At 37.2% G+C, this 16,302-nt stretch overlaps 1 protein-coding gene across 5 annotated transcripts in view; it reads right to left on the bottom strand.

Annotated features, from left to right (window-relative positions):
- PDCD6IP (programmed cell death 6 interacting protein) overlaps window positions 1-16,302 on the bottom strand; it is a 71,074-nt gene that overhangs the window by 46,081 nt on the left and 8,691 nt on the right. For 4 of the 5 annotated variants that reach the window (NM_001162429.3, NM_013374.6, NM_001256192.2 and 1 more), the window contains exons 2-4: window positions 11,497-11,551; window positions 9,995-10,064; window positions 1,541-1,668 (exon numbers count right to left, since the gene is read on the bottom strand). In NM_001162429.3, coding sequence (NP_001155901.1) covers window positions 1,541-1,668; window positions 9,995-10,064; window positions 11,497-11,551 — 253 coding nt within the window. The remainder of the gene's footprint in view (window positions 1-1,540; window positions 1,669-9,994; window positions 10,065-11,496; window positions 11,552-16,302) is intronic. The other variant, XM_047447042.1, reaches the window with a different exon arrangement.

Here is a 16,302-nt window from a genome sequence, read left to right as displayed (position 1 = left end):
TTTAGTACAGACAGGGTTTCACCATGTTGGCCAGGCTGGTCTGGAACTCCTGACCTCGTGATCCGCACACCACAGCCTCCCACAGTGCTGGGATTACAGGCGTGAGCCACCACGCCCAGCTCGTTTTCACATTTTAAAATATTTGCCATGTATAGCCTCAAAAAGAAATAGCGTATGCATTATGTTTGTCATCTATGCCCATTCAAAACTGTAAGGCAAGCCACAATTTGGAGCGTGTTGTTTGCTTACGGTATATTTTCCTTTTACTTTCTCAGAACAGCATCACTCACCTCTTCCCTAAACATAAACAACGGGAAAAAGCAGACTACCTCTGAGACAAGCAAATTTCATGGGAGGTTTGGGAGTGAAACAGTGGAAGGACATTTGGAATTACATGAAATTTGGAATCAGAACTATTGAAACCCAAATAGACTGCTTTATTAAGACTTCGGACCTTTAGCCTCCTCGTATGTAAAATCGGAATGACATTATATGACATACATCACAAGGTTTATCTGAGAGTCAAATAATGTACATGAAAACACTTTGTAAATTAGAAAGTAATATAAAATGACAACATGATTATATATATATTATTTAACAGTAATCATTTACTGTTCTTTTAACCAAAACAAAAAAAAGCTGAATAAATAATAAACAACTGCTGGCCGGGCATGGTGGCTCACATCTGTAATCCCAGCACTTTGGGAGGCCGAGGTGGGTGGATCATGATGTCAGGAGATCAAGACCATCCTGGCTAACACAGTGAAACCCCATCTCTACTAAAAATACAAAAAAAATTAGCCAGGCGAGGTGGCGGATGCCTATAGTCCTAGCTATTCAGGAGGCTGAGACAGGAGAATGGCGTGAACCCAGGAGGCGGAGCTTGCAGTGAGCCGAGATTGTGCCACTGCACTCCAGCCTGGGCAACAGAACAAGACTCCGTCTCAAAATAAATAAATAAATAAAATAAAATAAACTGCCACAAAATAACATGCCATATTAGTAAATGATCAGTACGTAAAACAGATTAGGCAACTTATGAACATTATGTGTCTGACCATATTTAAATATGACCTCTCCACAAGTCTCAAAGTTAAAATTTTATTTTCTTGCCAATTTCTTGTCTTTATTTTTGTAACAACAGTGAAATTTCAAGTGTGTCTCACTCTAAGAAAACATATGAAAATAATGTACAAATTTTTTTTAATTAGGTAATTTATTTAAAATGGATTTACCCTAAATGCCTGAGATGAAATCTCAGACATTTCATAATTTCTTCAACCAACAATTATTGAGCCTCTATTATGTGCCAGGCACTGTGCTAGGTGCTCGGTATAAAACAATGAGGAATAACAGACCTGGTCTATAGACAGTTTATCTAAGGGCTTTAACAGTAAGAATAAATTCATTTTAAAAGTGCATTCGTTTTAGAAAACATCTGTTGCGTAAGAAGTATCTATAAACCTAAATGCAAATTATTTTCCACTTAATCCAATTTAGTGTTGACCATTATTGTAGTAACTACTTTTCAGCATACCTGGTAATGTTTAGCAGCGATTTTCAATCCTTCATCATTATCCAGGTTCTGTTCTGCTGCAATTTGGCTAGCTAAGGCTGCACAATTGAACAACACACAGCTCTTTTCATATCCTAAGCTTGCAAGAGCTGTAAAAAATTGAGAAGGAAAAATTCATCAGATTATTTTTTCTAAAGAAAACAAATGTTTCAAAGAGAAATACTATGACCTCTCTCATCCCGCTGACTCTCACAAAAACAAGTTTCCAGACCTGTTTTCTTGCTGTCATATGCTCCCATATTTCAAGCTGCCCTTACAGGCATTTATTTCCACAACAATATTCCCATCACCCAAAACGCTGAAGAACAGTAAGTTATTCTTTCTCTCCTTCCCTTTACTTCCACATTTCTATTACAATCAAATTCAAATGTAAAAGTCATTTTCATGTCATTTCTCTCAGTTTCTTAAATTTGAATAAATTATTTCCATTTTTCTGTCACCTCTCAAAATCACATTGTCCCACCACAATCAAACCAATTCCTCATTACCACAAATCTAAGTCAATGCAATTACCTCCTAGCTGGCCTTATGCTTTACTCCCTCATGCAAATACATTTCTCAAAGGGCTAGCAGGTTAGCTGGGCTAAAACCCAACTCTGATTAAAAAAAAAAAATCTACACACCTCACATCCACTTAGGATAGCTCCTATTAAAAAACAAACAGAAAATAAGCATTGATGAAGATATAGACAAACTGGAACTTTCCTGTACTGTTGGCAGGAACGCAAACTCGTGGTTGGGCATGGTGGCTCACTCCTGTAATCTCAGCACTTTAGTAGGCTGAGGCAGGAGGATCTCTTGAAGCCAAGAGTTTGAGGTCAGCCTGAGCAACACAGCAAGACCCCATCTCAACAAAAAAAAAAAAAATTGTTTTTAAACAGCCAGGTATGGTGGTGCATGTCTATAGTCCTAGCTACTCGGAGGCGGGAGGACCACTAGGGCCCAGGAGTTCAAGGCTGCAGTGAGCTATGATCATGCCACTACACTTCACCCTGAGCGTCAGAGCAAGACCCTGTCTCAAAATAAAAAATAAAAATTAGAAAAAGTACAACTGCTGTGGAAAACAATATGGCAGGTCCTCAAAATATTAAAAATAGAATTGCTATTTTATCCAGCAATTCCACTTTTGAGTATACACCCCCAAAAAAATGAAAGCAGAGTCTCAAAGAGATATACGTATGCCCATGTTCATAGCAGCATTATTCACAAAGCCAAACATGAAAGCAACCCAAGTGTCTGTGATCTGATGAATATATAAACAAAATGTGGTATATACATACAATGGAATATTAGTGAGCCTTGAACAAGAAGGAAATCATATGCTATAACACGGATGAATCTTGAGGACATTAAGCTAAATGAAATGTCAGTCACAAAAAGACAAATATTGTATGATTCCACTTATATGAGTTACCTAGAGTAATCAAATTCATAGAGACAGAAATCAGAATGATGGTTATCAGGGATGGTGGTAGGGGGAGGGGGATTGTTGTTCAATTAGTACAATATTTCAGATTTGCTAGATGAAAAAGTTCTGGAGATGTATTTTACAACAATATGAAATACACCCAACACTAGTGAACTGTATACTTAAAAATGATTAAGATAATAAATTTCATGTTGTGAAATTTTTTTTAAATGCAGTCTACGACTCTACTTGTATGAGGTACCTACAGTTTAATTCAGAGACTGAAAGAATGCTAGTTGCCAAGGGTTGAGGGGGGAGGGAAGAATGGGACATTATAATTGTTTTTTTCTTTTGAGACAGGGTCTCATTCTCTCACCCAGGCTGGAGTGCACTAGTGCAATCACACCCATTGCAGCCTCTACCTCTTGGACTCAATCAATCCTCCTGCCTCAGCCTCCTGAGTAGCTGGGACTACAGGCACAGGCCACCATACCCGGCTAATTTTTGTATCTTTTGTAGAGACAGGGACTCACTATGTTGCCTAGGCTGGTCTTGAACTCGTTGGTTCAAGCAATCCTCCCACCTCGGCCTCCCAAAATGCTGGGATTACAGGCATAAGCCACCGCCCCCAGTCTGTGAAGTTATCATTTACTGGGCAGAGTTTGTTTTGTAAGATGAAAAAGAGTTCTCGAGATGATGTTTGCACAATAATGTAAATGTACTTAATACCACTGAAGTGTACACTTAAAATGGTTAAGAAGGCATATTGTGTATATTGTATCACAATTGAAAAATAACTTTTAAAAAAGAATCTACAATAGCTCCCTATTACTCACAGAATTCAATCAGTTTGGAATTCAAGATCTTGCATAATGTGCAAGGCATTGACCACTAGGCAAAATAAGGCTCCTTACAAAAAACACTGAACAAACCAATCTAGGAGAATCAGAACAACACTACATTTGTATGTTTGTGCCACAGAGTTGTACCATAAAGTAAAGCCCTCCTTGTTACAGTACTTTGGTGGCCTCCTAGGTAATAAAGGCCAGTTTTCAACTTGCTTCCAAACCAGTTCTAGTCTCCTCATTCTAAACTAAAGCAGACATAAACACCAGCTACTCTAACCTACTTTATTAAACATATGGAAAATCCAAAATAACCAGGTTGTGAAAAAAGCCTGCAGCAAAATAAAGGAAGAGCAATGCGAACTGAAAAACTAAGCCCAAAATAAATAAAGACAATTCCAGTCATAAAAGATTATATTCCAAATATCACAATTAGCATTCCTTAAAGAGATTCAAAGACAGTACATCCATAAAAGAAAAGGATTTTTTAAATTAATAAGACAAAGCTCCTAAAAATTAAAAACTTGATTGTTAAATTTTTTTCAAAAGTTTTAAGGGCGGAGGAAGGAAAAAAAATTTTTTTTCAAGTTTTAAAATTAATATCTAGGCAATCTCAGAAAGAACAGAAAGTCAAGAAAAAATATAAAAATTACGAGTGAACAACTCAGAACAACCAACATCTAATAAAGTATTCCAAAGAAAGAGAGACAAAAGAGACAAGAAAATTATCAAAGAAATATAAGAAAACTTCCCAGAGCTTAAGGGAGATATAAGTGTTCAAACTAAAAGGGCCAAAAAGAAATGCCCTACACACGAATAAAATGAAATCCCATTAAGTCTTTTGAGATTTCTAAACATGAAAGATAAAGAGAAGACTGTAAAAATATTCCCAAGAGCAAAGAAACAGATCACTTATAAAATAACAAAAATCAGACTTTTCATCAGTAACACTAGATACTAAAAGGCAAGGGATTGGCCAGGTGCAGTGGCTCACGCCTGTAATCTCAGCACTTTGGGAGGCTGAGGCGGACAGATCACGAGGTCAAGAGAACAAGACCATTCTGGCCAACATGGTGAAACCCTGTCTCTATTAAAAGTACAAAAATTAGCTGGACGTGGTGGCGCACACCTGTAGTCCCAGCTACTCGGAAAGCTGACGCAGGATAATCGCTTGAACCTTGGAGGCGGAGGTTGCAGTGAGCCGAGATCGTGCCACTGCACTCCAGCCTAGCGTCAGAGTGAGACTCCCTATCAAAAAAAAAAAAAAAAAAAAAAAAGCAAGGGATCAATATCTTCAAGTTCTGAATATAATTTTAATTAATTCAATAAATATATACATTAGGCCAGTGTGGCAGGAGAGAGCAAGGAACAAAATTAAATATCAGCCAGGCGTGGTGGCTCACACCTGTAATCCCAGCACTTTGGGAAGGCAAGGTGGGCGGAGCTCTTGAGGTCAGGAGTTCGAGACCAGCCTGGCCAACATGGTGAAACCCCGTCTCTACTAAAAATACAAAAATTCGCCAGGCGTGGTGGTGCATGCTTGTAATCCCAGCTACTCAGGAGGCTGTGGCACGAGAATCACTTGAACCTCAGAGGCAGAGGTTGCAGTAAGCCGAGATCATGCCACTGCCCTCCATCCACCCTGGGCAACAGAGCAAGACTGTTCTCCAAAAAAAAAAAAAAAAAAAAAAAACAAGAATGAAATATATTCCAAACAAGAAATAAAAGTAAACTGTTTATATATTGGATACATATCTCAGTCTATTATGTTGCCCATAAATATTATCATACCAGACTGTAGTCTCTCATTTTATTTTGACAATTTGTCATGTATAAGAGCTTTTATGAGATTTTACATATAAGAGCTATTTTATCTTTTTTTCCTTTATTTTTTTCTATCCATCTAAACTTAAACCAGGTTTTCAAAACAATATTTAATTTTCCTTTTTTTCAAAGATGCCTTTCTAAGTATTTAACTGTATTCTTGTTTCTTACTTGCTCTCTTTTAAGTTTTTCTTTTATCTTTTTTTTTTCTTTTGAGACAAGGTGTCACTCTGTCACCCAGGCTGAAGTACAGTGGCGTGATCATGGCTTATTGCAGCCTCAACCTCCCAGGCTCAAGCAATCCTCTCACCTCAACCCCCTAAACAGCTAGGACTACAGGCACACACCACCATGTCTGGCTAATTTTTTTATTTTTTGTAGAGACAGAGTTTCGTCTGTTCCCCAAGCTGGTCTTGTACTCCTGGGCTCAAGTGATCCACCTGTCTTGGCCTCCCCAAGTACTGGGATTACAGGCACGAGCCACCACTTCCAGCCTCTAAGTTTTTCAAAACGAAAATAACTCATGAAAATAACAGCTTTCTAAAATTCAAACAATTTTTCTAAACTACAAAAAAATAATTAAAAATCACCCAACATCTCATCTTCCAGAGTTAACCAGAATTTATTTTTTGGTATCTCACAAATAACTACATAAACATTCACACACATAACTTTTCACAAAGTGGATACTATACCACACTCGAGTTGCCTGGAGTGCACAACTCGAGGGAGGAGGAATTACTCTGAGTTCTGTATGAGGAGTGTCCCAAGGAGCCCAATTCCGGGGACCCTAGAGTTGTACAATGCAACAACTCTGAACTAAGGCAGGCCTTTTATTCAATATTCCATTGATATAACTTTACATATCAACAAATACATATATGCATTTTTATTCTTAGTATTCCAAAAGTACACAATATTCAAATGAATGAGTAGCCTTTTATTTAACCAAGACATTACTGAAGGACATTTAATTACCAATTTTTGCTACTAGAAATGCCTTGATGAACCACCTCCTGTTTATGATCTAATTTTTTGCTTCCCAGTTCTTCTGGATACTTGAGTTCATCACTCAAGTGTCTCCTAGTTCTCCTGCCATCTGCTCCTTATTCTCAGCCTACCAAATTTCTTAAGTCATAACAATACTAAAAATCCTTTTCTGCACCTTGGCTCCCTCTCAGAATGATGCTCCCTTTGTCCCCAAATCTTTACTGTAGATTTCCTGAAATGAGCAACCCACATTTACTGTTTCCATTCCCTCACCTCCCATTCACCCCTCAATCTGATGCTTATTCAGGATACTCCAAGAGAAACTTCTCTCTGCTAAATCCAGTGACTTCTCCAACCTTACATGACTTGAGTTCTGCCACAATGACTCTGTCAAGGATGTTCCAGCCTGGACCTGGGATGATCATCAGAATCACCTGGAGATATTTTCTTTTTTTTTTTTTTTTTTTTTTTTTAGACAGAATCTTGCTCTGTCACCCAGGCTGGAGTGCAATGGCACAATCTCAGCTCACTGCAACCTCTGCCTCTCAGGTTCAAGTGAGTCTCCTGCCTCAGCCTCCTGAGTAGCTGGGATTACAAGGCGTGCGCCACTATACCTGGCTAATTTTGTATTTTTAGTAGAGACAGGATTTCACCATGTTGGTCAGGATAATCTCAAACTCCTGACCTCGTGATCCACCCACCTCGGCCTCCCAAACTGCTGGGATTACAGGCGTGAGCCACCGCACCCGGCCACCCGGAGATATTTCCAAAGATACTAATTCCAGTGCCCTACTCCAAAACTTTCTCCTATCACATCTGGCACTCTGTATCTTCATCTTTAAAGATAAACCTTTAACATTTTTCCCAGGTAATACTAATACGCAGCCAGGTTTGGGAACCACTGGACCACATCACCTTTGAAACTCTTCTGGCATTCCTTCACATCTCTATTTTACCCTGGTTCCTGTAAGATATGAAAGCTTTTTCTCAACCTCATTCCCAGAACCTCTTCCTCTATTTCCCCTGAATGTTATATTACTTAGCTCTGACTTTGATACTTTTCTCAGTCAATTATCTGCCAGAAGGAATAAATTTATTATCACCTAATAATTGTTCCCGAATGTATATCTTTCTCTTCTGAGCTTTAAATCCTTTATTTCAAAATGCCAGAGAAATGTCTACCCAGACATAACACAGAAAAATCAGAGTCAACCTTTCTACTAAAGAGGAATAAATATCCAACAGGTCAAACCAACTTATTAAATCTCAGAGTCAAGCCTCAACTCTTACTCTTCCTTCTGACTGGTAGTCAGCAAATTCAGTCAACTTCACCTCTGAAAAGTCTGAAATCCCTCTCTTCTGTAACTTGCACACACTAGCTTGTCTAACCTCATCATCTCTCATCAGTCTCCTCACTGGTCTGTTTCTCTCTAGTCCCGGGAGTTAGGCCTTCTAGATTCATATCCCAGCTTCATTAAATCCTAACCATATGACTTCAGAAAATCACGTAATCTTTCTAAACCAGTTTGTTCAACTGGCAATAATAGTGCCTTTTCCTCATTAAGCTATTGGAGAATTCAGTAAGACTATTTATGAAGTCCCTTCCAGAGTACCTGGGTAAAATAAATGCCCAATAAACATGCACTATTATTATATAAGAGGGAAAAGTACAAAGTCAGGAGCATAATATTTGCAACTCTCCACAATCTGCTTTCTAATATCATCACCCTCCATAATCCCCAATTCAACCTATGGTTACAAGCCATAACAATAATTATTATTAAATTAACATTATATATAATATCTACTATAAAATATATATTTCCATTTCCTCACCTATATATAAGTATAAACCTTATATAAGATATATAGATACATGTATGTATATGGTATGCACATACTATATAATACATATTATACATCTATATCTTAGAAGGTATATAGTATATATTATAGCATATCTTAATGTATATGTATACTATAAAAAGGATATACCATAAGGCATATTATACATACTTATATATAATGCATGTGTATATATACATATTTCTTATATATAATATATACATATATGTATATGTGTACATGAATATATATGTATATATGTATATACATATATGTATATGAATAATACATGCATATAGTATACATATTATATATACTATACATACACATAAATGTATATATGTATACAAATATACTATATATGTGTGTATATGTAAGTATATATACATATATGTATATAATACATTATATACTTACATATATACATACATATATATAATACACATTATATACACATATATACATACATGCATATATAATACACATTATATATGCACATATAATACACATTATATGTGCATATATAATACATATATACATATAATATACATGAAATATACATATATACATGAAATATACATATATCACATATACATTACAATGTTATATAATAATATAATTATTCATTGCAGCTAATAAAGCACTGTTCTTAGGACTTTACATGTATTCACTCATTTAATCCACATAAGAATCTAATGGAATAGGCCAGGGGCTCACACCTGTAATCCCAGCACTTTGGGAGGCCGAGATGGGTGGATCACCTGAGGTCGGGAGTTTGAGACCAGCCTGGCCAACATGGTGAAACCCCGTCTCTACTAAAAAAATTACCCAGGTGTGGTGGCGGGTGCTTGTAATCCCAGCTGAGGTAGAAGAATAGGAGAATCACTTGAACCCAGTAGGCAGAGGTTGCAGTGAGCCAAGATCGTGCCACTGCACTCCATCCTGGGCAACAAGAGCAAAACTCTGTCTCAAAAAAAAAAAAAAAAAGAATCCAATGAGAGAAATAGTATTATCTCCATTTCACAGATAAGAAAATTAAGGCACAGAGAGGTTATCTTGCTGGAGCTGGTAGATCAAATGTCCTCACCCTTCTGACCTATGGTTATGATTTTGTATCTGTAATATTATTTTCTACAAATCCATCCTTCAAGGCCTAACTCAAACATTGTCTGCTTTCAAAAGGTAGAATTACTTTCTTCCTCATATATGCTTCCATGAGTTTGTTCATAGGCTATTACATATTACACTTTTAAATGATCAACTATCTTCCCAAAAACTAAGTACATCGGTTTTATTCATTTTTATAACTAGGACAGTGCCTGGCAAGGCATGGGCTCTCTACAAATATTTCAAAATTGCATTAAAAGTTGAAGCTAAAAAGAGAATGAAATGTAAAAAACTTTAGTATTTACAAAGAGTCATTAGGATAACAATTTTAAAAACTAAAAACAATGCAAAGTAGTTAGACCAATTTTCCTATCACTTTTATTAAAAATTACATACCCAGTTTTACAGAGCCTCCAAAAAGTGAACCTTTATCGAAAGCATCCTTCCAGGTAAATGTCAAGCAGATCTGGATAGAATGAAAGAAAACAGAAAATTAGGTAACCTTCCTGAATCTCATTAAATATTAAGTCTTCTTTGAAGAAAAATCCACCATGAAAAAAAGGACAAAAGCTCAAAATATTATCTCCTATAACCACCCAACTTCCTTTCCTTCTCCTTTTAAATTGAAATCTAAAAAAAGTAAAATACTGGCACTGGGATATTTCAAATGGTCATTCTGCCTTGGTAATCATAAACACTATCTTATTCATCTTTATAAACACACAATGACTTCAACGGAACAAAATAAGTAGTAGATCCTTGTCAAATAAGCTAAGTGAAGCAAGGGAAATAAAAGTAAGTACTACAGGTTTCCTAGAAGATGAAATTAAAAACTATTCCATGATGACAAAAGTAGGAGAATGGTTATTTTGGGGAATAGGTTAATATTTTATTTATTTATCTAGGTGGTGGTTATACAGACATATTCACTTTGTAAGATTCAAGCTATACCCGTGATTTGTTCACTTTTCCATATGCTACATGAAAATTAAATGTTTATTAAAAAACTCTCTCTCTGCTCCTGAAATATGTATTATCACATACAAAGATTAGAAAGAAATAAACCTCATTTAAATTATTTATTGCAATCTAATACAAAAATTTCTAAACTCTTGATTAGGGAAATTTTCAAACATACAGAAAAACTAAAGAGAATAAAGAGAATGAACTCCAGTACATCCATCAGCAGCTTTAGTCTTTTGCCCTTCTTGGTTCATCTACCTCCCAATTTGCCCTGCCTCCAGCCACCTACACTTTTTTTCCAGGAATATATTAAAGGAAATCTCAACATATAATTATTTCACCTGTAAAAACTTTAGTACAAGAATGTTTAAAGTACTTTTCTTATAACTATTTTAAAATTTAAAAGTATCACTAATTTTAAAATCTTTATCCAATCTCCAAAATAAAACTATAAGAAATTATCAGCATTTTCAACATCTAGCCTTTAAGGAGAAAATAGTTGACATTCATGTAATTAACATTTAATCAAAACAGCATTTGCAACTTTTACATGCAAATGTAACTTGTGCGAATAATTTTTAAAGCACATAAACTGAGACTAATAATTCCTGAATTGTGCAGTTTCCTTCCTAATTCTGAAAAAGTCAAAGGAAAGGACACAGCAGATTAATCAGTCAACAGATCCTACTGACATAAAATGAAGTCCAAAGAAAAACAAACCATTGCTCTACATGAGCCCCAGAAGTGACTGAAGAATGACATGAACAGAATTCCAGGAGATTCTTTCTTCAGAAGCACATATATTCGCATTAGACAGATCTAAAAGCTCCTATTTTTATAACACTATCTCATAAAACTCTAAAGACAGTGAAGATATTGGCAGAAGGAAATGGGTGCTATTACCATATAATTTTAAGACAGAATTAATGACTTACCTGATTTTCAGAAAATGGGAATTTGGGTTCAATAGAACAAATCTGATCATAATATCTAAAAAATAGAGCAGAATTAATAATTACCAGAGCTAAATATTACATGCATTTATGTAATTACAACTGGTTTAAAATGATACAAAAATTATTCATGCTTACTTTGAGCAGCTATTTTATATGAAAAAAAGTTTTTTAATACGTAAACCAGAAGCTTAAAAAATATATGCAGTGAAAAACTATGAACAAAAAGTCATACCCACCACCACAGAAAAATATTTATCAACTGTTATTGGCTAAAAGCAAACTAACATCTGCTCTGAAAACCAAAATATTTCTTAAAAATACTATTTCTTACTAAAATAAATAAGTTTGTATCCATTAGACAAATTAGTATCTCTGGTAAACTGCCAATTAAAAACAGGTTTACCGACTTTTAAATGTTTTGGGTAAGCCCATCTCTATCTGTCTCCAGCACTGCCACACAGCACATCAAAGCTACCACTGTCTTTCAGCTAGAAATCCAAAAGTTTCCTAGACAACCTCTCCATCTCCTTTCTCATTCTTTCCGACCTGTTTTCTGCATAGCAGCCAGAATGATCACAAAATATAAAGCAGACTTCCCCCCATCAGGGTGAGCTGTCAGTCAGCAAGTCTGGCAGGGAAAGGAGGAGAAAAGGGTCAGGCCAAGCTTTCTAACTGGCCTCTAATCTTTCCTCCTTTCCTTTTTCCCTTATACTTCCCCCACCCCTTCATCAGGGGTATTTTTGTAATGATTATTTCTGGGGGCAAATTTTCAGCAGGAGTGGGCAACATATCTGAGACCAAGCTTTTGGCTGGCATGGCTATGAGTTTGGTTATAAACAGGAAAAACTATCCAATTAAGTAAATACATTGAAGATAATGGAAGCCAAGTTTCCCAAGGTCAGAGATACAAATACCTGAAAGGGCCAGGCACAGCAGATCACGCCTGTAATCCTAGCACTCTGGGAGGCTGAGGCAGGTGGATCACTTGAGCCCAGAGTTCGAGACCAGCCTAGGAAACACAGCAAAACCCTGTCTCTACTAAAAATACAAACATTAGCCAGGCATGGTGGCGCACACCTGTGGTCCCAGCTACTCATGAGGCTGAGGTGGGAGGATCACTTGATCTGGAGGTCATGGCTGCAGTGGGCCAAGACAGCGCCACTGTACTCCAGCCTGGGCAAGAACCTGTCTCAAAAAAAAAAAAAAAAATCCACAAACATGAGAAGGCAGAAGGTTAGAATAACTCCACAGTTTTAAACTGGAACTGGAGATATCAATGTGAACTTTTTTTGTTTGTTTACAGACAGGGTATCATTCTGTTGCCCAGGCTGCAGTACAGTAGCACAATCACAGTACACGGTAACCTTGAACTCCCAGGCTCAAGCAATCTGCCCACTTTAGCCCCTGAGCTGCCAGGACTACAGGTGCATGTCACCACACCCAGCTAGTTTTTAACTCATTTTTTAAAGGTAGCAGAGAGAAATAAAAACAAGTATAAATGTGTAACTATGTATTTCCTAAATGTATATGCTAAGAGGGCCTATAAGCAGTAACACTTCACAGTAGCAATAAGCACACCTACTGCCCAGATAATCTTTTGCATTAAAATGAGCCAAGTGCTCCTTAGAGAAATGGCTGACTCAAGGGCTGAGACTGAAAAAATTCAATATTCAAGTCTAAAACATCTTGCTATGCCAGAAAGTTAAGGAAGTACTCAAAAAATGATGAGGACATGTCAAAAGGGCACAGGAGGTAGCTTTAAGGGGCTCCCAATGGCTAAGCACTGAACCAATCTAAATAAAATAACAGTAAAAAATAAGAGCCCATTGAGGAAAAGACCACCATTCGGAGGTAAATAAACAGGTGAATAGGGAAAACTCTATCCTACGGTACCATAGTCTAGATGAAATTAGAAAAATTACCATTTGGTACCTTTCAGAGTATAATATCTAATTCTGGTAAGATTCATCAATAAATGATAAAATAATGAAAAGTGTGTAATGAAACAGGATATTACATAGTCCCAAAGTATCTCCCCACAAAATATTTACTAATTAGTACAACAAGCTTATTAACTGTAAGGTCAAGAAACCTGGCAAACACCATCTTAACCAAGCGATAAAAATAAACATTACCACTACAGAACAAATCCACATCTTATTTTTCCTGATATGCACTAGAAAGAACACAGCATCACTTCGCTGGTACTCCTATGCAAAAATGCAGAAATCACAAGAAAATGAGACAAGCCTTTATTGAGGAAAATTCTAAAAAGTAATTAGCCTGTACTCTTCAAAAATGTCAAGGTCATGAAAGACGAGAAAAACTGAAGAACTGGTCCAGATTGAAGGAGATTAAAGAGACGTAACAATTAAATGCACTGCATGATTCTAGATTAGATCCTGAACCTGTAAATAATATTAGGAAAATCAGCAATATTTGAATGAATTCTACAGATTAAATGGTAATAATGAATCAATGCCAACTTCCTGACTTTGAAAGTTGTACTATGGTTATACAGGAGAATATCTTTGTACTCAGGAAATAAACTCTGAAGTATTAAGTACTGAAACCCTTTGGTGGATTCCCATTACACTTAAAATTACATCCAAAAATGTTGAAGGTCTTACAGGATATGGCTATCATCCAACTCTCCAGCCTCATCTCAGGATATTCACTATACATTCGAGTCACTAAATTATAGGCTCTCCTTGCTCAGGGCCTTCACTCTTTTTACCACCATTTCTCACTATTGTCTAGGCTGACATTGTTATCAAAGAAAGTTTTCCTCATTCATTCATTCAACAAATATATACTAAGAGCTTACTATGCACCAGTTTTAGGACATTAAGAATTTAGCAGTAAACATCTAAAAATCTGTGCTCTTGTGAAGCTTTTAGAGGGGAAGACAAAAAAGCAAAAATATTATATAGAAGACAGTGGTAAGTGCCATGGAGAATAAAGAGACAAGAGGAATAAAGTGAATATATGAGGAGAGGTAAGAAGGTTGTCGTTTTAAATAACATGGTCATTTGACTACATGAAAAAAAGTTTTAACTCTAAAACAGCATGACCATAAAAGGCATGAAAAAGGTGATGAGGTGAGCCAAGCAGATATCTGAGAATTTCCAATCTAGGGAAAATCAAGTGCCAATACCCTGGGACAAGAGGGTACTTAAGAATGTATCTGGCATGGCAAGGAGACCAATATGATCATAGAGTGAGCAAGGGAGAAAATAGTAAGTGATGAAGTCAAAGAAGTAATGATGCCTTGAGTGCAACTGTAAGACTTCTGAGTTTTACTATATAGTGTAAGAGTGTGAATCATCAAAAGGTTTGGACAAAACAGCAATATGACTTATTTTCATACAGTCACCATGACTGTTGTGTAGAAAACTGACTGCAGGTGTGCACGAGCAGAAGTAGAGAGATCAGTTAGGAAGCTACCGTAGTAATCCAGTCAAGAGATGATGCTAGCACGGATCAATGGAGTCCACGGTGGCAGCAGAAGTGATAAAGTTAATCTAGGCCAGGCGCTGTGGCTCATGCCTGTAATCCCAACACTTTGGGAGGCTGAGGTAGGAGGATCACCTGAGCCTAGGGGTTTGAGACCACCCTGGGCACATAGTGAGACCTCATCTTTACACATACATACACACGTCAGCCAGGTGTGGTGGTGGGCCTACAGTCCCCCAAAGGGACTATGCAGCGGGATAAGGTGGGAGGATCACTTGAGCCCAGGAGGTCAAGGCTGAAGTGAGCTGTGATCCCACCACTGTACTCCAGGATGGGCCATGGCGTGAAATCTTGTCTCAAAAAAATACAGTCAATGTAACCCCTTTTTAAAATTAGTTGCCCCTCCATTTATAATCTCTCAGGTCCCTGAACATTTTCTTCATAGGATTTAACACAATTTGTGATATATTATTGGTGGGATTATGTTTATTGTCTTTTCTCTCAAAGGATTCTAAATTCCATGAAAGCAAAGACTAGATCTATTTGCTCTCTGTTTTGTTGCTAGCCCCAAGCAAATGAATCGGTAAAATGCAAAGTTTTCTTCTATCTCTGAAAAATAAAACCTAAAATTCTGGTTTGTGAATGAACAGGAGCTATCAAAGAACAAGCCCATAAGAAGGGAACAGCAAGTGCTAAAGGTCTGAGGCAACAACGCCTAAAGGTGTGCTTGGCACAGCAAGGAGGCCAATATGGCTATAAAGCCAGGACTGGCAAACTTTTTCTGAACAGTGATATTCTAGACTCTGCTGGGAAAAAGGCTAAATCAAGCATATAATAAGTATGTAACTACTTATATAACAAGAGGAAAAACCCCTGCCCTGCCCTGTACCTTTTTTGCCTAGGTTGGGCCATCCCAAAATTGTGGCACACGGCTGCCCAGGTGCCATCCTGGAGACATTCTCCAAAGAAAAAGTACCTGTCTGATGGAAAGGAGCCATAGGGAGACAGGAGGAGTGACCAACATGGTCAGTTTTACTCTACCCCAATGAGATCAAAATTCTCAGGGAGAGTCTACTGTGGGCACCTGCCCCAGGGGGCCGTAGGTGAGATAATTTGCTGAGTCACCAATTTCCAGACTGAGATTATACCATTTAGTGCCAAGCCAACGCCAAGCAGAATATTTACTCTGGTGTAGGCAGCACCACAGTAAGTCTGGGCAGCAATAAAGCATGGCCACTGGCCAGGGTGACAGGAGCTAGAAGCAAAGGGGAGAATGGAACAGAGGCAAACAGCTAAGCTAGTTCTCCAACACTCACAATGCTAACCCAC

The sequence above is a fragment of the Homo sapiens genome, chromosome 3 (genome assembly GCF_000001405.40).
Source record: "Homo sapiens chromosome 3, GRCh38.p14 Primary Assembly".
Classification (NCBI taxonomy): Eukaryota; Metazoa; Chordata; class Mammalia; order Primates; family Hominidae; genus Homo; species Homo sapiens.
The sequence above is the reverse complement of the archived record's forward strand: the minus strand, read 5'-3'. Positions and strand labels throughout refer to the sequence as shown.